General features: G+C 37.6%; 1 protein-coding gene across 6 annotated transcripts in view, besides 1 other annotated feature; it reads left to right on the top strand.

Moving 5' to 3' along the window:
• Window positions 1-27,691, top strand: part of SOX6 (SRY-box transcription factor 6) — a 772,029-nt gene that overhangs the window by 569,887 nt on the left and 174,451 nt on the right. The gene's annotated exons all lie outside the window — the stretch shown is intronic.
• Window positions 20,761-20,961: a silencer, noted in NCBI's record as "peak1214 fragment used in MPRA reporter construct". NCBI's record gives its function as "represses an SCP1 promoter by STARR-seq MPRAs in K562 erythroleukemia cells {active_cell/tissue: K562}" and the evidence as "EXISTENCE:reporter gene assay evidence [ECO:0000049][PMID:32103011]".

The raw sequence follows: 27,691 nt of genomic DNA, 5'->3' as shown, positions 1-27,691 counted from the left end.
TTCTACCCAGAAATATAGTGGTTTCCATAAGAAAGTATATTTTAGTAGAAATAACATGTTCCAAACCACTTAAACTAATGTCTAAGCTATATTTGTTCCAGAATTGAAGTGCATCTGAATATGAGAAACAGTAGGGACTTCAGAAATGAGAGTCACAAAAAATTCTAGGACCCTTATTTATGACATGAATTAATTAGGTTAAGCTTGCTTTCCCTTTATTATTTAAGATGTTATCCAAAATGAACAATATCATTTCTTTATAAACCTGCCTCTATTTTTATACTTCCTGTTCTTATAAATGACGTCATCACTCCAAATCATATTTGATACCTATTTTTCCTTTATGCATCATAGAATTGCCAATTCTAGTCTAATTTACCTCAAAATACCTCTTATCACATTAGATTCATGTTATGTCATGCCAAAACTGCTGAAACAGTCTGAAATTGTCTCCCCCACTTTAGTTTGTCCCTTTCCAATTTATATGTCTATTCCAGAATATTCTTCCTAAAGTCAACTTCTCATTGTGTTTCTTTTCTGTTGAGATATCTCCAATGGTGTCCTATTGACTATGATTTTGATTTGACAAACTTTCATTAAGCAGTTGTTATGTTTCTGATACTCCTTTGGTCTTTGAGGATATGGCAATCTACAAAAATCCCTGCTCTGCTAAGTTTACATTCCACTGTGGGGAGGCAGGCATTAAATAGATAAGTAAAATTACTGCACACTACAAGAACTGCTATGGAGAAAAAGCAGGGAAGGAGGAAAGGGAATGGGAAAGAGGTACTGCAATTTTAAATAGGGTGTGTGGGTACGTACTTAAGGGAGAAGGTAGTATTTAAGAAAAGACCCACAGGAATGGAAGAAGCAAGTCATACGCATATCAGGAGAAAGATCCTTCCAGGGCAGAGGAAACAGCAGAGCATGCTAGCTGATGGGGGCTTGCTAGCTTTAGCTAAGGAGCATCAGGGACAGTATGGCTGGCCAGGGTAGGGGTAATTTTAGTGAGTGAACGAAAGAGAAAAGAGTAGGAAATGAGAACACAGATGATCTTTTACATCGTTGTAAGGACTTTAGTCTTCAAATGGGATGGGAGACCATTGGAAAGAACGGCGTGCCCTGACTTGGGTTTTGACAGGCTCATTCTGGCTACTGTGTTGCAATTAGACGAAAGGGTGGAAGGGTAGAAGGAGGGAGACCATGAGAAGGCATTTTAGGCAAAGTGTTGGTAACTTGGACCAGGTTAATAGTGAGAAGTCAATTCTAGATATATTGTAAGAGCAAAGCCAACGAGATTTAGAGTGAAAAGGAGAGAGGAAAGTCAAGGATTTTGACCTAAGCAACTAGAAAAATGGAGTTGACATTCACTGAGATTCTGCCATTCACTGGAAAAGCTGTAAGAAGAACAGATATCAGCAGTGAGTGAGGGTCTGGAAGTTGGAGGGAGAATATCAAAAGTTTAGTGTTGAACTATTTTGTTGAAATACTTATTAGAGATCCGTTTGGAGATATTGAGTAAGCAGTAGGACATACATGACTGGAATTCAGAGGACAGATAAGGACTGAAAATGTACATTTGAGAGTGTCAATGTATGCGTAGTTTTCAAAGTTCAGTGTTTTTAGCCTAATGTTCATGGCCCTCCATAACATGGTTCCTACTCTCAGTAAAGCTATTTCTAGCTTTACTTTGTACTAGTTAATAAACTTGTCTGTGTATAATTTTCAGAACACGACTCATACTTTCACATCTCCAAATCAGTTGTCATAATGTTTTTTCTACTTGGAATACCCATTTTCCTCACATTTATCTTTGTCTTTTTAAAGCCTAGAATTTCATTATGGCCTGGTTCCATGAAGCCTTCACTGATCACCACCACTGCTTTCCCCTGACTCAGTCAAGGTTATCTCTTTCTCTTCTGAGCTTCCACAGTCCCTTGGGCCTTTTAAATAGCACATACTACATGCATTGTATTTTAGCTGTTCATTCATGTCTTGTCCCTCCTACAAGATCATAGCCTACCTGAAGTCTGAGGTCGTATTCATTTTTGTATTCCCAACATGCCTAGTTTGATACTTTGCACATGGGAGATGTTGTTGAATTGAATAGTTGAAATCTTAAATCATTTTAATGGACAAAGAAGGAAACATTCAAAGTTATTTTTTTCTTCCATTATATGTTCATCACTTATTGAAGCAAATATTGCAGAAGCACACATATGAAACAAATTGTACTAAAATATTTAGTTAATAGTGCTATGAATTAAACAGAATGTTGGAAACTTAGGATTTGGTTTGATCTTTTGACTGAGGTAAAGTCTATCCAATTCGGAGATGTTTGCTGATTAATCAGCTGTTAAATTCCTACTTGATTAAAGTTGGTAATGTGGGTGAAATAAACAGTCCATAGTTGGTTCATTAAAAAAAAATCACTTAAATTCCTTTTTGGGTTGACTCTGATCTTAATTAAAATGCCTAGAAAGAGCAAATTGGACTGTATACATTTATACTACAGTTTCATTGTCCTTCATTTCTATCTCTAAATTAGTGAATAATTTGTATTTCTAAGAAGGGCTCAAATACATAGCTAATATTGAGTACTTATTATATACTAGGGACTTTTATAAGTCCTTTACAAATATTACCTCCTTAAATGCTATGTATTTAGTCTTTTAGGATTTTTTTTTTTTTTTGAGACAGAGTCTTGCTCTGTTGCCCAGGCTGTAGTGCAGTGGCGCCATCTTGGCTCACTGCAACCTCCACCTCCCAGGTTCAAGCGATTCTCATGTCTCAGCCTCCTGAGTAGCTGAGATTACAGGCACATGCCACCATGCCTGGCTAATTTTTGTACTTTTAGTAGAGACAGGGTTTCACCATGTTGGCCAGGCTGGTCTTGAACTCCTGACCTCAAGTGATCTGCCCGCCTTGGCCTCCCAAAGTGCTGGGATTACAGGTGTGAGCCACTGCACCTGGCCTAGGATTCGTCATTTAGCATTACTGAACTTTACTATAGTTTTTGAAAATCAGTAATGCTATGTAGTTCCTTGGGGAAACTTCAGAAAGGAATAGTAAGGGATATAGTTTTTACAGCCTTAGTTTACTGACTGGTATCTTTTTAAGCATTTTAACTTCTATAATTCTTATGTATATTATGTTAAAATAAGAAATCTTGAGAGTTGTAGATTTAGTTCAATTCTTTAAACATTTAAGTCCCTTAGTTCTTAGCTAAAGGTACCAAGGTGAAAAAGATAATGTCTCTGCCTTTAAGAAACTCACAGTTTAGTAAGAGAGACATTTGAGCAATAATCATACTAAGTAAAATGATTTTTAATTTAGTAAAATTTTAATGAGCTTTGTTGACTGATCATAGATTAAGTATTTTAGCTCTATCAACATCAAGGGTATATCCCTTAAATGCGATGGTAGTATTTATGGCTTTCAAGTTAGTATTTGTGGCTTGCAAATACCAAGTAGAACAGTAACACTTGCTGGAACTCCTGAGAAAATATACTGAAAATCATTCCTCTAAAAGTAGATTTTTAAAGAACTGCTTTACTATTTGTTATTTTAGTAATCAACAATAGGAAAAGCTGCAGTTAGCAATATAGATAAAAAGAACCAGTTAATTTCACAGCCTTAAAGCATATCTGCTCTGTGTAAGAAGACTGAAATTAGCTATATGAAGTCAATCAATACAGGAAATATGAGACATACTGTTGTCTCTCTGTGGACTTTCTTTTTTCTTTCTTTCTTTCTTTTTTTTTTTTTTTGATACCAAGTCTCGCTCTGTTGCTCAGGCTGGAGTGCAGTGGTGCGATCTCGGCTCACCACCTTTCGCCTCCCAGGTTCAAGTGATTCTCCTGCCTTAGCCTCCCAAGTAGCTGGGATTACAGGTGCACACCACTACCCCTGGCTAATTTCTTTTGTAGTTTAGTAGAGACGGGGTTTTACTATGTTGGCCAGGCTGGTCTCAACCCCTGACCTCGTGATCCGCCCGCCTCGGCCTCCCAAATTGCTGGGATTACAGGCGTGAGCCACTGTGCCCGGCCCTCTCCATGAACTTTCAAAGGAGCCAGAGAGACAAAATGTCCATGTATTTTAAAATGCGAGAACAGTTGCAGAACATCTTGAAAACAAGTACAAAAATAATTATTATAAACTGAACAGTTAAATACTGAAGATCCACTGATTCTGATGGAGGAAAGTGAAATGGTAGACAAGCAAGACACTACTTTACATACATTTTATTTGCTTTAAATTGAACATGGTATCATACAGCACTTTTAAGCAAGGTATAGTTAATGTCTATTTAAGAATTTCTAGGCTGGGCATGGTGGCTCACCCCTGTAATCCTAACACTGTGGAAAGTGAAGGCAGGAAGATTGCTTGAGCCCAGGAGTTTGAGACCAGCCTGGGCAACATAGTGAGACCTTCATCTCTACAAAAAGGAATTAAAATTACCCAAGCATGGTGGTGCTACTGGGTAGGCTGAGGTGGGATCACTTGAGCCTGGGAGTTTGAAGCTGCAGTGAGCCAAAATCATGCCACAGCTCTCCAAACTGGGTGACAGAGCGAGACCTTGCCTCAAAAACAAAACAAAACAAAACACCTGAAAAAGAATTTCTAGAGGCTCAGCTCTTCTTTGTCTCGCAACCTGTCTCTTTCAGAAATAAAGGGCCTTAAGTAGAACTAGCCCTGGTTCCATGGTTGAGTTACAAATATACCTGTCAATGCCCCAACTTTTCATAGAAGACAAAATACATACCACATGATTAACTGCAGTTCACAGGAACCACAGAGGAAGATAGTGCAGGTTGCTATCTTGCTTGGATTGCCATTCCTTTTGGGTTAGGCTTAGAAGCCAAAATCATGTAGCGTCAAGGCCCCAGAAGAATGCTTTAACCTATAACTTAGGACTTTAGTCAAGATTTATTAGCAAGATTTGTTTTTCACTTTAAGGGAGAGATACTTTTCATCCTCAAACTTGATTTGGAAAGTATGTGTGGGAAGAGTTTGTTTTCTTCCCCTCCAGATTTTGTTTTTCCTGAGATATTGGCTGAGAAAGCCTGGTTTAGACCATTGTTTGATGAATGCTACCTAACCTTCTAAAAAGTTAGGATTATACATTCTATCAGTAGTTGCAATCCTTTCCACATGTTTATTTTCTATAAATATAATTTTGTTATCCCTTTAAATAAATTCATTTATAAAAGGCATAGTAAAAATCTATAGGATCTTAAACTGTTTTGGGTGAAAGGGACCTTGAGAACTTAGATCACTGACTTTCAACTTTTTTCAGACCAACCACAGTAAGAAGTTCATTTCACATCACTACCCAATACATGCATATAGCACATACATACACATGTGTGTATAACAGAAACAGAAATTTCATTAAATGAGACTTGTCTTACAACATGTAATGTTCTCTGTATGAGATATTTTCTTTTTATCTTCCTTTTTTATTTTCTCTTCCCTCCTCTTTTTTCATACTCTTATCTGATCCTTTTATTTTTCTTTTCCCCTTTTTACACTATCTTTCCACTCTTTTTCATTCTTTTTTATTATCTTGTCTCTCTCATCTTTATTCACCCTACTCTCTTCTTTCTTTAATCTCATTCTACCCATATACTCCTTCCTCTTTCTTCTCACTTTTCTTCCTTTTTTCTTTCCCTTTTTTCATTTTCCCTATTCTATTCTATTTTTAAAAAGCCAACTCTGTCCTTCTAATTGGTCACAACCACAAAGCGTGGAAAATACTGACTCAGTTCAAACCACTCATTTTACACTTAAGAAAACCAAGGCTGTTAAAGATGGACTATCATCTGTTTAAGGGGTATATTAGGCTATTCTTGAATTGATATAAATAAATACTCGAGACTGGGTAATTTATAAAGAAAAGGCTCATGGTTCTGCAGGCTGTACAGAAAGCAAGGCACTGGGCATCTGCTTGGCTTTTTATGAAGCCTCAGGAAACTTACAATCATGACGGAAGTCAAAGGTGGAGCTGGCAACTCACATGGGAAAGCAGGAGCAAGAGAGTGTGAGGGGGAGATGCCACACACTTTTAAATGACCAGATTTCATGAGAACTCACTATTGTGAAGCCAGCACCAAGCCACGTGGGATCCACACCCATGATCCAAACACCTCTCACCAGGCCCTGCCTCCAACGTTGGGAATTATAATTCAACATGAGATTTGGGTGGGGACAAATATCCAAACTATATCAAGGGTATTGCTTGTCCAAGATCACATGTTATGTCCTGAAAACATCTAGTTACTGACAGAGTTGGTTTTGTAATATCGGACTTTAAAGGTCTTCAAAGAAATAAAAATATTCTGACCTATATGGATATCTTAATATTCTGAACCTAATTCTTTCTGTTTTGAAGGATATAAGATGCAGCTAGTTGTAATTATAAGCAAGAATGTCTGGGTAAAAATTTGGAAATTTCCACAGATTTCTAGTTTGATGAAGTTGCTATCCATCATCCTGAACTTAAAGTTTTGATTTTTCCAAGCAAGGAACAATTATTACAGTTGTATGTAAAAATTGAAAGACTTGAAAACTCTATTATATATAATTGCACAGAATCCTTGCATTAAATTTAGGACAAGGAAGAAACAGAATAGTCTATTAATTTATTTTCATAGTTCCAGGAAGGGATAAGAGAGTGAGGACCATAAACAACCAGAATCTGATAAAATATCCTTAACTTTAGCCTCCTGCCATGAGTTAGTATGTTGGAACAGTGAATGGCAGAGAAACACACTAAGGCAAGGCCAAGTGAGAACAAGAAAATGTCTGCAATTCACTTTTTCAGTAAGTACTACCATGTGCCAGGTTCTAGTTATGTCAAAGGACAGAAGAAAAAAGAAAAATGAGAAAACTTAGCACCAGGAGTGTTATATGGTAGAGATCCGACTTGACTATGAGGAGCAGCTTTTTGTCTCAGCAGGAGTTTTGTGGCGCTAGTAAAGGAGGTCAGCATTTTTCCTTTGTCCTGCTTTTGTCTGTTCAGAATCCCACTCTTTGTGCCCTTTTCAGAATGTGCATTGGATGTGATTTTTGTTGTTGTAATTTGGTTTCCATTACTACTTTAAATAAACTTGACATAATATTTGGATTAGGGGAACAGCTACTAGAGCCTATTAGCTACTAAAATAATTCTTATGTCTAAGACTATATATATATATATACAAGACTATATATATGACTTTATACATAATCTTAAACATAAGACATATATATCTGATATATATATATATATATCAAATTCATTGTCAAATCTTAAGTGTTACAGTCCTCACACAATCCAAGAATAAAGAGAAAATAAAGAAATAGGTGTACTAATGTTGTGCTGGAGCCAACTCACACTGGCTCATAAGAACCAACTGTGTGTATCTTTTCCCAACTTCTTGTCCAGTGACATCATGTTTATAGGTTGAAATCAACCATGGTGGATTGAAATCAACCATTTACACCATGGAAACTGGCAAATGCTCCATATCACCCTCCCCCACTTTTTTTTTGAAAGCTGATTTACCAGCATTCAACTGGGTGTGATAAAGTACAGAAACATTAAAAAGCTAAGCAATCAAATATTTAAATCATTGATTCTTGAACTAAAGTGGCTGCATGTTATTTAACTAGTATCATCGGTTTTGGATCAAGAGTTTAAAACTTTCTTGTAGTTTTTTTGAGAATTTGGAATTAATTGAAGAATTTTAAAAAGAGAGCTCAGTTCCAAAAATGTTTTAGTAACTTAGAAATATTTTAAAGTCATTCATGGTCAGAAATAATTAGCCCCCTGGGCTCACTGTGCTGCTTTTGTAGGCTTCAGGAAAGAAGAAAAATTTAGAAGTCTGAACAGAATCTAGTTTAAGAAAATGAAACATTCTTAAATTACATTTTATCCTCAATCCATAATTTCTGACAGTGTATTTTCTGTGTTCTTTGACAGGCTTATAGACTACTCTGCTTTAACATAAAGGATTATTATTTTTTCACCTTCATGTTAAAAACCACATTAGCCTCCACCCCGTAAAGTAATTTTACAACACTTAGCATAATGCCACAAACTGGTATTTAAGATAAGTCATTATGGTATATATGGGCATGTGTTATCCAGACACATCACTAAGGATGCACTTGCTTCCCAGCCACAGAAATACTGTAAAACATACAGCTTCCATCTGTCAGCTCCTGTAGTTTGCCTGAGCTGCAGAGAGCCACTTAACCCCAGGTCATATCCTTCCCAGGCTCTCCCATTTGAGTGAAGGACATGGATGTGAAGTTTGGGCCTTTCAGGTTTGAAATTAGACACTGACTTCAGGGCTTCCTGCTGAGTTGGATGAAGTATTCTTAGGCCAATACTATAGTTCAATTTCTTCCTCTGCCCAATCTTGTCTTCTTCTCTTTCCTGTTTACAAGTGTTGTTCCCTAGTAAATATCTTGTACCTTAAACCGTAAACCTATCTTGTAGCTTTTAGAGAACCCCATCTGCAGCAGCCTTGTACGTTACATTAATGCAATATGTTAGTATTATGCTAAGGCAATTTTATCAGGTCTTGCCAATACCATTGAGGCCTGCATTTCTGGTATGTTAGTCCCCTTTCCGAGTTTCCCACCCCATGACTTTGTCTACGGCAGAACTGTTATGAAAAAATCTGCTTTAGAAATTTTGCTCCATGTTTTAGTACTTGTCCTCCAAATTCTGCCACTTTACATACATTTGGTAATAATGAAGTTTCACCTACCTAATGTTCTGTTGCATTAAGTAGATTTTTATAGGTAGAAACAGACTTATCAAAAGTCTGATTGTTCTGCAAGCCAATAAATGTCAATAGAATGGAGACTATTTTATTAGTAAATGTGTATGTTACAAACTTTATTACATTTTAAATTTAACCCAAAATTCCCCTGGTCAAAAATTTAAAAGATTCCAAAGTTGTGTGCATAGTTATTAGGTTACTAAAATCTGTAGGTATATATTTTAGATTTTATATTACTCAGAATACTGCATAAAGGTCTTTTTACCTTATTTTTTCTATCAGTTCACAAGTTCACATCATCTAATATTTCTCTGTCAAATTACCTACTGATACTATAAGGCCAAATAAAAATATTAAAGGGAGGAAACAAAGTATTTTTTAAAACCAAACACCAATTTATTTTCACGTAACTGTTTTGGAGAGCTGTATGAAAATGTTGAGAAATAAGGTAGGTAGAAAAGATAAGAAATATAAGAAACAGTAATATTTATCCTAAAGTCTTGAATCCTCAAATGAACTGATCTTTAGCGTTCTCATGCTAGTGTTAATTTGTGTCTAAGTTAGAGGAGGGGATAGGAAAAGAGGATTTAAACACAGCTGGGAGCATTAAGTCATTTTGGATAAGGAATTAATATTAGATAATTTTGGCTAACAGCAGAAAAACTAATAAACAGTTTGATGATAGTATTCTCTTAAAAGTGTTTATTTCTGTAGTATCATTGGTAGATATGATTTAGGTATAAGGTGAGCTTATTGGGACTATTTGCATTGTCTTTCTCCTGCAAAGAAAGGAGATGGAAAATGGTGAAAATAATAATTTCAAAGTCTGGCTCTGCTATCTATTTGGCATGTGATCTTGGATGAATCATTTAACCTTTGTGAGACTTTTCTGTAAAAAGATAACAAACACACAGATACACACACACACACACACACACACACACACACCTGTAACTTCAAGCACATAGGACTAATGCAAGAATTATTAGAGTTAATGTGTAGAGAAATACTTTGGCAAATATAAATTGAAAAAGTGTGTAGTCATAATAATAATGATGAGTCAGTTCACATAGAGCAAAATTTTATATCAATTCCCATATCACATTCACCAAGATCTTTTTTCTGAATTCCTAAAAGAACACCCAGGAAAGCCACAAGCAGATAAGAGGAATTTTTTTATTACTCCTGGAAGCCTTGCCTACAATTTCTTCATTTTGCCTGGGTGCCCCCTCTCCACACATATTCATGTGCATACACATTTAGTCATCATTTGTGTTACCAATAATATGAAGAAACAGGACATTTATCATATGATTTTTATATATAAATTACAGTTGAGATAAAGATAAGTTGACTCTTGGGAGATGTGGGAAAAGAAATCTATTAATGAGATTCACTAATTGTTGTTGTTGCATTTTGGCATCAGTTTCATTTTGAACAGAAGAGAACAAGTTGTACCTGGGAGTCATACCCTACGAAAGCCACAAGAACATAATATATACACCAAGGAGTATGATGGCTTTTGGAAATACTAGCTTTGAGAAGGTACAGAAATTGGAAGGAACTAAGGGGGGATTTGAGAGGAGCTGGTGGCACAGTGTCTAGATGCATTGAAAGTATCCAAGAATGAAGAGATGTGTTTAATTTCAGCATAGAGATTAACTCAACAATTTTTGAATTGAATGAGTTTAATAAAGTTTTCTTATTAAATTTCTACTAGTCTTTGGGTACTATGCTGGAAACAAGAATAAAAAAAGAAAGATAAATTACTTATCTTTGGAAGCTCACAGTCTAGTAAATGGCAACAATATAATGTGCTAAGTGTTATGGTAGATATATTCACTGACTGCCATAGAAGTGCAGAGGAAGAGCATTTAATCCCAATTGATAGAGTAAGGGAGGCTTGCTCAAAGAAGTGACATTTGATATGAATCTGAATTTTGAAGTAGGAGAAGGAATGTGAACCAGGATGGAAGGTGTCCAGGCAGAGAGAAGAGTCTGAACAAAGATTCATAGAGATGAAGAACATTGCATGTTAGGGAACTACAAATAAATTCATTTCTCAGTAAGGCTGGAATGAAGTGAACAAGTACAAGTGTGGCAAAATGAAGCTAGAGTATAGCTATGCACCAGATATTGAAGGACCTTTTATGACCAATTAAGAACAATAGTTTAAAGGATATAAGCAAGAGAATGGGATGACATTTGCCTTTCAGAAAGATCACTCTGATGAGAGTGTGGAGAATATCTATTTGGTATGTGATCTTGGATGAATCATTTAACCAAATGATTAACCAAATCTGGGGGACAGAACATGTAAATACAGGATGATAATCAGGTTTGGAGGACTGGGTGAGGTGAAGGGTTTTATTTTTGACATGCTGAATTATCCAGGTAGATATACTTACTAGATGTTGGATATATAGGTTTGAAACTTGTAAATTGAGTCTGAGTTAGAAATACAGATATTGGATATTAAAGACTGGATAGGATTTGGATATTAGCCCCCTCAAAAGAGGAGGCTAAAAGTAGAGACAAGGAGAACATTTGAGGTACTATTGAAGTAATCCAAAAGGGAAGAAATGACAGAATCTCGGCTAAGGAGGTATAAGTAGGAATAGAGATGAGGAGATGGGTTTGTGTGATGTTGAGGAAATAAATCTATAGAATTCATGATTAATTGGATTTAGCTAAGAAGAAATTTAAGCAAACTCCCACATTTCTGCATTGGTTGACAGTTGACACCTCTGTTCAACAGGATAGGTGTTTATTTAATTACACAAATATTTACCAATGATAAATCACTGCTCATTATCAGTGAGCAGTGATAATACACTAAGGAACAAAATGGACAAAGTTTGGGAAGATAGAGACTGTAAACAAATAGATAAATATCATGTAGTGATAAATTCTATGAAGAAAAATAGGTTAAGGATAAGTAAGAATATAGAGTGATGATAGTTACACATTTATAGAGCTCAGAGAGGCCTCCTTTTGAGTAAATGATTTGAATAAATTGAATGCAGGAGACATGGATATTAGGGTAAAAAAAAGTATTCCAGGGAGAAGGAACAGAATTACAAAGTATGTGAAGTGGGAGTGTGCTTGGCATGTTTTAGGTGTAGCCAGGAGGCCAGTAAAGATGGAGTAGAAAGAGCAAGGGGAAGTGGTATGTGGTGAAGTCAGAGATGTATTGGTGGACAGATCATGTAAATACAGGATGATGATCAGGTTTGGAGGACTGGGTGAGAAGAAGGGTTTTATTTTTGACATGCTGAATTATTCAGGTAGATATACCTACCAGATGTTGGATATATAAGTTTGAAACTTGGAAATGGAGTCTGGGTTAGAAATACAGATTTAGGAATCATTATCAGGTGGATAATAATGAGTTTGCCTAGAAATATGAGAGTGAGAAGAGGGTAGAGAGCAGAATTTTCGGAAATACTAACATTTAAAGGGTGGAGTAATAGAGAAATGGGAACATGTGATGGAGATTAAGAAGGAGAGGCAGTAGCAAAGGGACCCACAGACTGATCCATATATGTTCAGCTCTGGAAGGTTCAAGCATGAGATATTTATTAAGCATCTATAATAAGCATTGCACTGTGAATATGAGTGCAATAGGTCTCAGAATGATGTGGTGATAGGGCTCTTAGAAATCATCTATTTAAACCCAATCATTTTGTATTTGAGGGAACTGTGACCAGAAGGCAAAGTGACATGCTCTAGGCCACACAGTTTCATAGTGAGAGAGATAGGACATCAATCTAAATCACTGGAACTGTCCCCTTTACACACTGAACTCAGAGAAACAAAAAGCATACAAGATTGGGATAATTTTAAAGAACTTTCTGGAACTTTGGTCTTAAAGACTGGATGGGATTTGGATATTCAGGGAGAAGGGAAGGGCAATATGAGAGTAAATATTAAAGTGAAGATGTGATAACGAGCTTGGAGTGTATAGCCTATGAAAAGATGTCCTATGGTAGAGTTTTTATTAGTGAATAAGGGAAATAAATTTGGAAACTTTGGTTAGAACAAAGATTGTAGATTTGATGGCATGGGAAAGCAATAGAGACTTTGGAACTAGTTCACCTTTAATAAAAGCATGTTGTGGAAGAGGAAGATACACTAGACTGCCACTAAGTATGTGTTAACATAATAGCTAATGATTCACTATGTACTAGATACTGTAATACATGCCTTATGTATTATATTACTCAATTGACACAATAATACTGTTTGCCACTGAGAAAATGGAGGCTTAACAGAGGTTAAACAACTTGCCCAAGGCATCACAATAAGTAGCCTAGCCAAGATTCTAATCTAATTAACAGAAAACACTTATATAGTGTTTACTGTATGTTAGACACTATTCTAAGGCTCTAGATACCTCAATCCATTGAATTCTTACAATAGCCCATTGAGGTAGGTAATATTATTCCCTTTTATAGATCACAAAAGTGAAGCATGGAGAGGTTAAATAATTTGTCCAAGGTCATACAGTTAATAAGTGGAAGACCTCGAATTCAGACTTAGTCTGGCTCTAGGATGTGTGCTCTTAACCACTACACTCTGCTGCCTCTCTTTCTATGAGAATCTAGAGCCCTGGATCCTAACCACTATGTGATGTATCTTTCAGAGCAGAGGTTTTGATTGAAAAACCTGTAGACTCATTTGCCAAGTTGGGAATTTGAACATAGAGATAGAGTGGCCTGGGAAATAATTTCTAAAGAAAAAGAAAACTTTTTTTTTTTTTCTGACAATCAGTCTGACCCACACTCCACAGTTAAGCAAAGAGGGTAGTTCAAGGACCACCTACAGAAAAGAAGGAGCGATAGTCTTAAAACCGGAAATTTACCAGGTTCACGACTTGTAAATGAGGAATGCATGAATAAGAACTAAAATATGTGCAGCCCAAACTGCCCCACTACAAATATTTGAACACTCCCTGAAGGACTGGTTGCCCAGGAAATGCCTGGTTACAAACTCAAGGTGCAAATTTATCAAGGTAGATAGATGCCTGTGTGCTAGTCTGTGGTTGTTTGTACAAAGTTATACTTGGGGAAATAGAAACAGGAAACTTTGATGTGTATATTACAATAATTCTTATTTTGTCTTTATGTAAAGACAAAAAGTTGCATTTTTTTTTGTAAGCAAATATTAAACGGCTTTAAAAAATCAGTTAGACTGGTTGAATGATTCAGAAGACCACTGTACTTAATTTAATTCGGAGACAGGTGATTAGAAAAGATCTGGCTGAGGGTTGAAGAGGAGTCACTTAAAAGGCAAAATGGGAGCACAATAGAGCAGAAAGAAGCATCAATAGCTGATTTCTGTAGGTTCCATACAATTTAAAATAAGGAGTTTTAATATGGTAAAAAGAATACTGCACAGGGATAAGTGGCGTAAAGGAAAAATTACATAAAAAATAGATTTCTGTAATTTGTCGCAGCATGTTAATTAGGGGGGTTATTATTCTATTGTAATGATTGTTAGCAAATGTTTCCTCCATTTATTTTTCCCTTTACACTGTCCAATTGTGCTTCTTACTTTTTTTTCATGTATTTACAAACTCTAGTTAGGATCCTGATTACGGCATAGTTCCTTGATAATATTAAGATATGTAAGGTATCTTCATTGTTGGCCTCAGGCTATCTTTGCTATGACTTGCATTTGTCCAACGTCAAAACATAGGAAACAGGTAATAAAGCTTTTGGTGGTATCCAGCCACTGTAATGAAGACAGGAATGTGATTTGAGCTGGGAGGAATAAATTGCCATCTTACTTCACTTTTATATTCCTTTTTATTATCAGGCAGCATTACCCAAAGCCATGGGTTTTGTTTTCAGAAAAGTAGAACTTAGAATTATGCTTGGTTTAGGATTAATTAATAAGATTGTGTGGTACTCTCCAGAGAAAAGAAGTTAAACTTCATTATATCTCAATTTGGATTTTTTTTTTATTTTTGACTTTTAAAAATGCTTAGATTTTCCTCAGTATTTTATCAATAGTGTGTAAGCTGGAAAACTTGAGTTTGAGATCACATATCTGTCTCACTAGTCTATTCACTTCTGTGGGCATTTCGGCAGAAGTGGCAACTGGAAGTTGTAAGCATGGTTTTGGGCAGGGAGACCAGAGTTCGATGGTCATTACTGCCAATTATACTCTGAGACACAAAGAGATAGGTTGAGTCTGTTGGACCCCAGTGGGTTTCAGTCTTATGTGTTCAGTTGCTCATATTGTGCTTAGTGAGTGGTATGGGTTTTTATTGTATTTTAGGAGGTAACTGGAAGAGATCTTTTATTTATTTGTCTAACCAGTCCTATCAGAGGTAGTTAACCCTGTTTTTGATAGGCTTAGTAAAACTTACTCTACATATCCCTGTGCAATACTGCTTTGTAGGATGACATATCGCCAAACAAATTTGGGACAACTATCAGTTCACAAATTTTTTCCCTTTCCCAAGGCTGTGACTTTTTTTCCTTAAAAAAGTAACTCTAGGCCAGGTGCAGTGACTCCTGCCTGTAATCCCAACACTTTTGGAGGCTGAGATGGGTGGATCACTTGAGGTTAGGAGTTTGAGACCAGCCTGGCCAACATGGTAAACCCCATCTCTACTAAAAAATACAAAATACAAAAAATTGTCTGGGCATGGTGGCTCATGCCTGTAATCCCAGCACTTTGGGAGGCTGAGGTGGGTGGATCACAAGGTTAAGAGATAGATACCACCCTGGCCAACATGGTGAAACCTTGTCTCTACTAAAAATTCAAAAATTAGCTAGATGTGATGGCACACACCTATAGTCCCAGCTACTGGGGAGGCTGAGGCAGGAGAATCTCTTGAACCTGGGAGGTGGAGGTTGCTGTGAGCCGAGATAGCGCCACTGCACTCAAGCCTGGCAACAGAACAAGACTCCATTTCAAACAAACAAACAAAAAATTAGGGCTTGGTGGCACACACCTGTAATCCCAGCTACTCGGGAGGCTGAGGCATGAGAATCGCCTGGGCGATAGAGTGAGACCCTGTCTCAAAAAAAAAAAAAAGTAATTCTAATATATCATTTCTGATATCTTTGAGATATCAAAGCTATTTTTGAGAATGTATGTGAGTCTCTCTGTGTGTGTGTCTAAAAACATGAAGCTAGGAAGTAGAGGGAAATGTAATATCTGTTAGTTAATTCAGTCACTATTATATAACAGAATGTGTTTATCAAGACCATCTTGGCATGGTAGTTCAGATCAGTAGCCTGTATTAATGGTAAAGGGTGTTCTCTGGCTTTAATTATACATACATTCCAGAGAAAATAGTAATTTGTATTTTGTTTTGTTTTTGTAACTTATTGATAGTCCAGTGTCAAATTCCATTGGTCTGTTTTGGGATACCTTTATATTTGTTTGTGAAGTGAGCATCTGGGTTTCAGTGATCTCCAGCCAGATTTGGGTTCTCCAGATACTGAACAGAGCTGTCTGTGGGTGGGGTCAAACACGCCTGTGACTTTTGACCATTGAAAATGAAGGAAAACATTTGTGGTGAGAAACAACAGCATATGCTTGACCTCCAAAGCATACACATCTATAAATGGATAAAAGTGACTATTTAAGGTTGTTTTAAAAAAGAACCACTGTGTCTACAAAGAAAGAAACCCTAATTCAATGTTTGAAAAAGCAAACTGTGTGGGTGAAAGAACATGTTTTTGTCAAAAACATCTGTGGTGTTCCCTATGATGTATTTGATCCTGGTGGTAAATCAACAAAGTTAAGTATTAGAGACAAAAATTGACTTTAGACAACTTATTATGTCATAAATAATATTAATTCAACCCAAAGTATTTCAAGGCTGTCTTTAACTGTTGTTATTTTGACTAATTGCCAGATATACAAAATAAAGTTCTCATACCAAAATTAAGGCATTGCTTGAATTTGTTATTTAGCAGTTGCAGTTGGTTATGTATGTGTTCTTTGTACCTTCATTTTAAGTTTTACTTTAGTACAGTGTTTCCTAGAGGTGGTTTCCTCACTGTCAGGAGATAACTGCCACTGGGCCTAATTTTATAGAACTGAATTTTTCAGCTTGCCATAGTTTTTAATGTAATTTTACTATAGTCATGATTTATAGACCATATTGTTTGTGTTTTTGCAGATGTAAGAGATTCCATATCTGATTTTATGAGGATTTTTTCTTTCCCAAATACTGAAGCAATAAATTATGGGGTGAAACTCTCCCAAACAAAATGTAAAATTTACAGGAACAAATAATTTGACATGAAATTTTCTCTGTGGATGAATTGGGTTGATGAAATTAACAGCAACAGAAAAATGGTGTCTGCAGGGATTGTGTCAAAAGAAGCTAAGTTATGTCAAAGACAGTGAATGGTATGAACTATTAGGTGATGAATTTTAATAGTGTCCAAATGTAAATAGTGAATTCAAAGTATTACTCAGCAGCTGCAAGAGCGATCGGAAAAGCTGACATGACAAATTCAGTCATTTCTTAATCACTTTCGTTACGCACTATTGTCAGCTCTGAGAGGCAAATTTTCATCCTGATTTACACCCGTAATGCTAATACTTGAAACCTAGAACTTCTCAAAATCGTTTGCTTGCAAAACACCTTTTAAATCATCTTAGATGTTTCTGTGACCCAATGTCATTAAAAAAATGTGAAAAATATATTGCATATGTCAAAGAAAATTTTCCATTTCCCATTTGTATGTTATAAAAGAGGTATTATTTACTGTAAAATCCAAAAGTATTAATTGGCTGCCTTTGGTTTAAATAAAATTGATTGTTAAAGCAGAAAATAGAGGATAATATGAGTCTTATTCTGCTGTAGCCTCCCAATAAAAGAAGCAGTGACCCAACTCATTAGCCCTTTGATTTAATATATTGACACTTGGGTACGAATAATTTCATTTAGTGGCTTTTGCTTCCCAGGGATCAATTTAATTAGTTATAGAATGTGACTTCTTGTCAGGAGCTAGAAGAAATGCTGACGTTAAATAAAGTCATACACAATTTAAACAATAAAGCTATCGATGCCTGGTTAAAAGTTAATGATGCAAAAAAATGGCTTAATAGAGACAACCTCAGCAGTGAAAGTGATGCTAGGAAAATTAAGCTAAGTGGGTGAATGAGGAATGGTGATGTTGTTGAATTGTTAAAACAAATCTGTGGCTGGTCTGATGGCTGGCTATGTTGTAAGTACATCATCTTTCAGCCCGAGAGACAGAACTAGTTCTAGACTCCTTGCTCAATATTCCTTCAGTGTGAGTTTCATTTGTTTATAGGTTTTAGGATCCAGGGGAGGGAAGAAATCTTGTTTAGGCTGCATGGACAAGAAAACTTCCTGAAATCAACTCCATGTTTGAGAGAAAGATGTAGAAGTGTTATTCATGACCGTCCCATCCCAAAGTGGCTTCTGTGAAGTAGTCTCATGTGGGCTCTGCTAGCTTGTCCAGGGCCATTTCTATTTGTGCTAAAATGTTTGAAAAGAACTCTGGGTTTACATTTTGGCCTGGAAGATTTGTCTCCTTCTGAATAGTGGTTACTTATAAAAGTAGTTCTTCCCAACTTAGAGAAATGTAACCTTTTTTACCTATGTAATTAATGCCACCTCTAACTCACTTCTGTAATCAATATTGTTATTTTATGTCTCTGACAGCATCCACACACTGATTTTGACACTACTTGAGTTATCTTTGTCTCCGTATCTCTAGCCTCAATATACTTATGTTACAGAATGAATGAACTGGCCTAGAATTAAGTAACTAGATAATCTCAATCTCTAAAATGCTTCCAAACTCCCTAATTTAATCATAGATTCAAACCCAATTGTTTAATTCAGTCAAATCAATTGCTTTGGGAGTGGTGTAGTCAAAACAACCAGTTGGTTGACTAAAAGATCCTGGTTTCTGCTGGTATGTGTACATGTACCCACAATTGCCTCTTTTTGGCATTGGCTGCTACTGGGTCATTAACACCAGTTAGCTAAATAAAAGATAACCACATTTTATTGTCAGACAAAATTTGTATCTCACTTCTCCAGCTGTTGCCTTTCTAAGTCACTTGCTCATTAGCTAAAGATGAAGAACATATTTAAACTTGATGAGTTTTAAAATCCTTATTCTAGTCAAAGGAATTGACATAAGTATTCTATAGCTAATTTTTCAAAAAACAACCAAAGAAGTGTTTTCCCTTTTCCAGTTTTGTCCCTAGCAGGTTCTGAAGTCTGTGGTTGCTGGACGGGAATAAAAGTGCAATGAACTGAGCTCTGGAAAGGAAGATGAAATAGGAATTTATGGTCTTTAATGACCTATCAGACTCCTATTTCCCTACTTTATAATGAAGCACATATTCTCCCTGTGTTTTCTTCCTGGAATGTACTGAAAAGGGTCAAGATTAAAGATCCTGGGCAAAAGCTTACTGTTTTGGAAATCTGTTTATTGCATATTTTTTTTTCTGCTGGTTCAGCTGCCAAGGAAATTACTGTAGAGCCTACAGTAGGCCGTCAAAGTGCAATATATCTCTCTAGGAAAATCAGCAAATAACTTACCTATGGTTTAACATAAAATAACTGCCCTTGAAAATTGCAATAAAGCTTAGAAACCTTGAACTTTCAGTGTAATTTGTATATTAAAAAATGTGTTTGGGCTGAAATGATTTGGAGTTTCATTTGTCATTCCATTTGTGTAGTATACTTGCACACATTGACAAGAAGGACACGTGGTAGTTAACTTTGAGAAGGGGCATTTTTGAGAGGGAGCTGACAAACTTTAACCAACAAAATGACTTTCAGAAGTCTTGAAGGAAGAAGAAACAACGTGGAGACAAATGAGTATGCTTACATAGTATTTGGTAAAACTATGTAAAAGTACAGAAGGGATTATTGCTGCAGTTAAAATCTGTGCCAGAAACAAGTTTTCCACTGGAGTAAAGGTTATCTTTTTTTTTCTTCTTAATGTTGGGGGAAGGGCAATTAATTGAGGACAAGAGGGAAATTGTGGGGGACTGATGTTAGATAAACTATTTTGTCTTTGTGTTGACATTATATTGGCTACAGCCTACACGAGGGAATGCCTGGAAAAAAGTAAGGAGAGAGAGGCATTAATATTTTTTAGTGTGCGTGGGTGCGCCAGCAGTAGAGGGGCCCATGTTTTCTTAGGGCTCAGATGGCAAAGCTAAGCATTCAGCCTACGGCAGGAAAAAAGTGCCTTTTTTGTTTTCTGACTGCAGAGTCCAGGCATTCCCAGGGGAACACAATGAATGGCCCATTTTGTCCAACACGGTTTCATAGACATAGATTTCTTGTTTTTTCATAATTATTCTTGCCCGTCATTGGGTGTGCACATGACATTTGAGCGTGTTTTAAAGTCTTAACACACTCATGTGCCTGCAATAAAGTTACTCATAACAATCCCGGCTTTCTCCAGACAACAGAGCAGGGTCTGTTGTTTTCACAAGTCACAGCAGCTGGGAGGCAATTGTGAAGACAACAGCTTAATCTAACTGGAAAATACAGGAAGAAGAGAGTATACACTAAATTTCCTCCCATATTATTCAAACAATGAAGAATAAAAAAAGGCTATGGGTGGTCTAACTCAACAACTGATTGGCAGAATATACTTTAAATTGCCTTAGACTGTTGTCTTTAAATGTTAAGAATCTACAAAGTTAAATTCACTGTATTTGTTAATCAGCTAAAAGGCAGGCTCAGGCAATGGTACACAACTACATTTCAATGGCTATAAAAATTATTACAGATCGCTTGTTTTTTATAGTTTGTTAACTAGCATTTGGTGTATGTATAAAAAGATGCTTTGACAAAGTAGTTATGAAGCAATGGTTAATCTCCTTTGAAAGGTGTGTGAAAGACCAAGAGGTTCATGGTAATTCACATCTTCATGCCAGGCTGTATTTCTGGTGTACAGTCATTAGTAAGTTTTAAATTTCACACTGAATAACAGAATTTAGGAAGAGGAGAGTAACTAGAAGATTTAAATCTGACCTGGAACATCAGAGTAGTAAACTGGCTGTGCTCTTCAGGGTGCTGAAGTAAACAAAGTTATTTTTATTCCATGTGGATGGGAAGAGATAAGAAATGTGAGAAGTACAATAAAAAGGAAATTTCGGTGTTCATTTAAGTTTGCATTTGGGGAGAAAGGATTAAGCAGGACATGGGGAAGGAAGTGACATAAAAAGCAAAAATGATAGTGCTATGCTTAACTATTTCAAACTCCACCATCCTTTTCCCTTTAAGGAAACATTTTGTGAAAGAACTTCTTATGGACTCTTTTATTTTTTTTTATTATTATACTTTAAGTTCTAGGGTACATGTGCACAACGTGCAGGTTTGTTACATATGTATACATGTGCCATGTTGGTGTGCCGCACCCATTAACTCGTCATTTAGCATTAGGTATATCTCCTAATGCTATCCTTCCCTCCTCCCCCACCCCACAACAGGCCCCAGTGTGTGATGTTCCCCTTCCTGTGTCCAAGTGTTCTCATTGTTCAATTCCCACCTATGAGTGAGAACATGCAGTGTTTGGTTTGTTGTCCTTGCGATAGTTTGCTGAGAGTGATAGTTTCCAGCTTCATCCATGTCCCTCAAAGGACATGAATTCATCCTTTTTTATGGCTGCATAGTATTCCATGCTGTATATGTGCCACATTTTCTTAATCCAGTCTATGATTGTTGGACATTTGGGTTGGTTCCAAGTCTTTGCTATTGTGAATAGTGCCACAATGAACATACGTGTGCATGTGTCTTTATAGCAGCATGATTTATAATCCTTTGGGTATATACCCAGTAATGGGATGGCTGGGTCAAATGGTATTTCTAGTTCTGGATCCTTGAGGAATCGCCGCACTGTCTTCCACAATGGTCGAACTAGTTTACAGTCCCACCAACAGTGTAAAAGCTTTCCTATTTCTCCACATCCTCTCTAGCACCTGTTGTTTCCTGACTTTTTAATGATCACCGTTCTAACTGGTGTGAGATGGTATCTCACTGTGGCTTTGATTTGCATTTCTCTGATGGCCAGTGATGATGAGCATTTTTTCATGTGTCTGTTGGCTGCATAAAAGTCTTCTTTTGAGAAGTGTCTGTTCATATCCTTTGCCCACTTTTTGATGGGGTTGTTTGTTTTTTTCTTGTAAATTTGTTTGAGTTCTTTGTAGATTCTGGATATTAGCCCTTTGTCAGATAAGTAGATTGCAAAAATTTTCTCCCATTCTGTAGGTTGCCTGTTCACTCTGATGATAGTTTCTTTTGCTGTGCAGAAGCTCTTTAGTTTAATTAGATCCCATTTGTCAATTTTGACTTCTGTTGCCATTGCTTTTGGTGTTTTAGCCATGAAGTCCTTGCCCATGCCTATGTCCTGAATGGTATTGCCTAGGTTTTCTTCTAGGGTTTTTATGGTTTTAGGTCTAACATTTAAGTCTTTGATCCATTTTGAATTAATTTTTGTATAAGGTGTAAGGAAGGGATCCAGTTTCAGCTTTCTACATATGGCTAGCCAGTTTTCCCAGCACCATTTATTAAATAGGGAATCCTTTCCCCATTTCTTGTTTTTGTCAGGTTTGTCAAAGATCAGATAGTTGTAGATGTGTGGTATTATTTCTGAGGGCTCTGTTCTGTTCCATTGGTCTATATCTCTGTTTTGGTAGTGGTACCATGCTGTTTTGGTTACTGTAGCCTTGTAGTATAGTTTGAAGTCAGGTAGCGTGATGCCTCCAGCTTTGTTCTTTTGGCTTAGGATTGACTTGGCAATGTGGGCTCTTTTTTGGTTCCATATGAACTTTAAAGTAGTTTTTTCCAATTCTGTGAAGAAAGGCATTGGTAGCTTGATGGGAGTGGCATTGAATCTATAAATTACCTTGGACAGTATGGCCATTTTCACGATATTGATTCTTCCTACCCATGAGCGTGGAATGTTCTTCCATTTGTTTGTGTCCTCTTTTATTTTGTTGAGCAGTAATTTGTAGTTCTCCTTGAAGAGGTCCTTCACATCCCTTGTAAGTTGGATTCCTAGGTATTTTATTCTCTTTGAAGCAATTGTGAATGGGAGTTCACTCATGATTTGGTTCTCTGTTTGTCTGTTGTTGGTGTATGAGAATGCTTGTGATTTTTGTACATTGATTTTGTATCCTGAGACTTTGCTGAAGTTGCTTATCAGCTTAAGGAGATTTTGGGCTGAGACGATGGGGTTTTCTAAATATACAATCAGGTCATCTACAAACAGACACAATTTGACTTCCTCTTTTCCTAATTGAATACCCTTTATTTCTTTCTCCTGCCTGATTGCCCTGGCCAGAACTTCCAACATTGTGTTGAATAGGAGTGGTGAGAGAGGGCATCCCTGTCTTGTGCCAGTTTTCAAAGGGAATGCTTCCAGTTTTTGCCCATTCAGTATTATATTGGCTGTGGGTTTGTCATAAATAGCTCTTATTATTTTGAGATATGTCCCATCAATACCTAATTTATTGAGAGTTTTTAGCATGAAGGGCTGTTGAATTTTGTCAAAGGCCTTTTCTGCATCTATTGAGATAATCATGTGGTTTTTGTCTTTGGTTCTGTTTATATGCTGGATTCCGTTTATTGATTTGCGCATGTTGAACCAGCCTTGCATCCCAGGGGTGAAGCCCACTTGATCATGGTGGATAAGGTTTTTGATGTGCTAATGGATTCGGTTTGCCAGTATTTTATTGAGGATTTTTGCATTGATGTTCATCAGGGATATTGGTCGAAAATTCTCTTTTTTTGTTGTGTCTCTGCCAGGCTTTGGTATCAGGATGATGCTGGCCTCATAAAATGAGTTAGGGAGGATTCCCTCTTTTTCTATTGATTGGAATAATTTCAGAAGGAATGGTACCAGCTCCTCCTTGTACCTCTGGTAGAATTCAGCTGTGAATCCGTCTGGTCCTGGACTTTTTTTGATTGGTAGGCTATTAATTATTGCCTCAATTTCAGAGCCTGTTATTGGTCTATTCAGGGATTCAACTTCTTCTGGGTTTAGTCTTGGGAGGGTGTATGTGTCGAGGAATTTATCCATTTCTTCTAGATTTTCTAGTTTATTTGCATAGAGTTGTTGATAATATTCTCTGATGGTAGTTTGTATTTCTGTGGGATTGGTGGTGATATCCCCTTTATCATTTTTTATTGCGTCTATTTGATTCTTCTCTCTTTTCTTCTTTATTAGTCTTGCTAGCGTTCTATCAATTTTGTTGATCTTTTCAAAAAACCAGCTGCTGGATTCATTGATTTTTTGAAGGGTCTTTTGTGTCTCTATCTCTTTCAGTTCTGCTCTGATCTTAGTTATTTCTTGCCTTCTGCTAGCTTTTGAATGTGTTTGCTCTTGCTTCCAACACATTTAATTGTGATGTTAGGGTGTCCATTTTAGATCTTTCCTGCTTTCTCTTGTGGGCATTTAGTGCTATAAATTTCCCTCTACACACTGCTTTAAATGTGTCCCAGAGATTCTGGTATGTTGTGTCTTTGTTCTCATTGGTTTCAAAGAACATCTTTATTTCTGCCTTCATTTCCTTATGTACCCAGCAGTCATTCAGGAGCAGGTTGTTCAGTTTCCATGTAGTTGAGTGGTTTTGAGTGAGTTTCTTAATCTTGAGTTCTAGTTTGATTGCACTGTGGTCTGAGAGACAGTTTATTATAATTTCTGTTCTTTTACATTTGCTGCGGAGTGCTTTACTTCCAACTATGTGGTCAATTGTGGAATAAGTGTGGTGTGGTGCTGAGAAGAATATTATTCTGTTGATTTGGGGTGGAGAGTTCTGTATATGTCTATTAGGTCCGCCTGGTGCAGAGCTGAGTTCAATTCCTGGATATCCTTGTTAACTTTCTGTCTCATTGGTCTGTCTAATGTTGACAGTGGGGTGTTAAAGTTTCCCATTATTATTGTGTGGGAGTCTAAGTCTCTTTGTAGGTCTCTAAGGACTTGCTTTATGAATCTGGGTGCTCCTGTATTGGGTGCATATGTATTTAGGATACTTAGCTCTTCGTGTTGAATTATTCCCTTTACCATTATGTAATGGCCTTCTTTGTCTCTTTTGATCTTTGTTGGTTTAAAGTCTGTTTTATCAGAGACTAGGATTGCAACCCCTGCCTTTTTTTGTTTTCCATTTGCTTGGTAGATCTTCCTCCATCCCTTTATTTTGAGCCTATGTGTGTCTCTGCACGTGAAATGGGTCTCCTGAATACAGCACGCTGATGGGTCTTGACTCTATATCCAATTTGCCAATCTGTGTCTTTTAATTGGAGCTTTTAGCCCATTTACATTTAAGGTTAATATTCTTATGTGTGAATTTGATCCTGTCATTATGATGTTAGCTGGTTATTTTGCTCGTTAGTTGATGCAGTTTCTTCCTAGCCTTGATGATCTTTACAATTTGGCATGTTTTTGCAGTGGCTGGTACCAGTTGTTCCTTTCCATGTTTAGTGCTTCCTTCAGGAGCTCTTTTAGGGCAGGCCTGGTGGTGACAAAATCTCTCAGCATTTGCTTCTCTGTAAAGGATTTTATTTCTCCTTCACTTATGAAGCTTAGTTTGGCTGGATATGGAATTCTGGGTTGAAAATTCTTTTCTTTAAGAATGTTGAATATTGGCCCCCACTCTATTCTGGCTTGTAGAGTTTCTGCTGAGAGATCCGCTGTTAGTCTGATGGGTTTCCCTTTGTGGGTAACCCGACCTTTCTCTCTGGCTGCCCTTAACATTTTTTCCTTCATTTTAACTTCGGTGAATCTGACAATTATGTGTCTTGGAGTTGCTCTTCTCGAGGAGTATCTTTGTGGTGTTCTCTGTATTTCCTGAATTTGAATGTTGGCCTGCCTTGCTAGGTTGGGGATATTCTCCTGGATGATATCCTGCAGAGTGTTTTCCAACTTGGTTCCATTCTCCCCATCACTTTCAGGTATACCAATCAGACGTAGATTTGCTCTTTTCACATAGTCCCATATTTCTTGGTGGCTTTGTTCATTTCTTTTTATTCTTTTTTCTCTAAACTTCTCTTTTCCCTTCATTTCATTCATTTGATCTTCCATCACTGATACCCTTTATTCCCGTTGATCGAATTGGCTACTTAAGCTTGGGCATTCGTCACGTAGTTCTCATGCCATGGTTTCAGCTCCCTCAGGTCATTTAAGGACTTCTCTACACTGGTTATTCTAGTTAGCCATTCGTCTAATATTTTTTCAAGGTTTTTAGCTTCTTTGTGATGGGTTCGAATTTCCTCCTTTAGCTCAGAGAAGTTTGATCATCTGAAGCCTTTTTCTCTGAACTCGTCAAAGTCATTCTCTGTCCAGCTTTGTTCTGTTGCTGGTGAGGAGCTGTGTTCCTTTGGAGCAGGAGAGGTGCTCTGATTTTTAGAATTTTCAGCTTTTCTGCTCTGTTTTTCCCCCATCTTTGTGGTTTTATCTACCTTTGGTCTTTGATGATGGTGAGGTACAGATGGGGTTTTAGTGTGGATGTCCTTTCTGTTTGTTAGTTTTCCTTCTAACAGTCAGGACCCTCAGCTGCAGATCTGTTGGAGTTTGCTGGAGGTCCACTCCAGACCCTATTTGCCTGGGTATCAGCAGTGGAGGCTGCAGAACAACAAATATAGCTGAACAGCAAATGTTGCTGCCTGATCGTTCCTCTGGAAGCTTTGTCTCAGAGGGGTGCCTGGCCATGTGAGGTGTCAGGCTGCCCCTACTGGGGGTGCCTCCCAGTTAGGCTACTCGGGGGTCAGGGATCCACTTGAGGAGGCAGTCTGTCCATTGTCAGATCTCAAACTCCATGCTGGGAGAACCACTACTCTCTTCAAAGCTGTCGGACAGGGACATTTAAGTCTGCAGAGGTTTCTGCTGCCTTTTGTTCAGCTCTGCCCTGCCTCCAGAGGTGGAGTCTACAGAGGCAGGCAGGCCTCCTTGACCTGCAGTGGGCTCCTCCCAGTTCGAGCTTCCTGGCCACTTTGTTTACCAACTCAAGGCTCAGCAATGGCAGGCACCCCTCCCCCAGCCTCACTGCCATCTTGCAGTTTGATCTCAGACTGCTGTGCTAGCAATTAGTGAGGTTCCGTGGGTGTGGGACCCTCTGAGCCAGGCGCCGAATATAATCTCCTGGTGTGCCGTTTGCTAAGACCATTGGAAAATGGTGGGAGTGACCCGATTTTCCAGGTGCTGTCTGTCATAGCTTCCCTTGGCTAGGAAAGGGAATTCCCTGACCCCTTGCGCTTTTCGGGTGAGGTGATGCCTTGCCATGCTTTGGCTCACGCTCGGTGAGCTGCACCCAGTGTCCTGCACCCACTGTCCGACAAGCCCCAGTGAGATGAACCTGGTACCTCAGTTGGAAATGCAGAAATCACCCGTCTTCTGCGTTGCTCATGCTGGGAGCTGTACACTGGAGCTGTTCCTATTTGGCCATCTTGGAACTGCCGTTGGTTCTATTAATATTTTATTGGGAAAGATGAAGCAGTCAGGGCTGGGAACTTGTCTCATCGCCTTTTTAGGCACTCAGATACCTGAATACCTGTAATCTCATTTCACTTCCATTCTTCGCTTGGAAATACTACATCCTCATGATAGTGTTTTTAAATGGAAATCTAATGGAGAAATCCAAATGCTGCTTGGAACCATAGGATGACCTTTACTATTTCACCACTCATATATACTGAGCATGAGCATGAAGAGATTTTTTTTTTTTTTTGAGGTGAAGTCTTGCTCTTGCCTAGGCTAGAGTGCAGCAGTGCAATCTTGGCTCACTGCAACTCCTGCCCACCAGGTTCAAGTGATTCTCCTGTCTCAGCTTCCCATGTAGCTGGGATTACAGGCACCTGCCATGACACCCAGCTGATTTGTGGTCTGCATGCCTTGGCCTCCCAAAGTGTGAGCCACTGTGCCCAGCTAAGAGATATTTTT

This window comes from Homo sapiens, chromosome 11, assembly GCF_000001405.40.
Source record: "Homo sapiens chromosome 11, GRCh38.p14 Primary Assembly".
Classification (NCBI taxonomy): Eukaryota; Metazoa; Chordata; class Mammalia; order Primates; family Hominidae; genus Homo; species Homo sapiens.
This window is presented reverse-complemented; position numbering and strand designations above follow the sequence as displayed.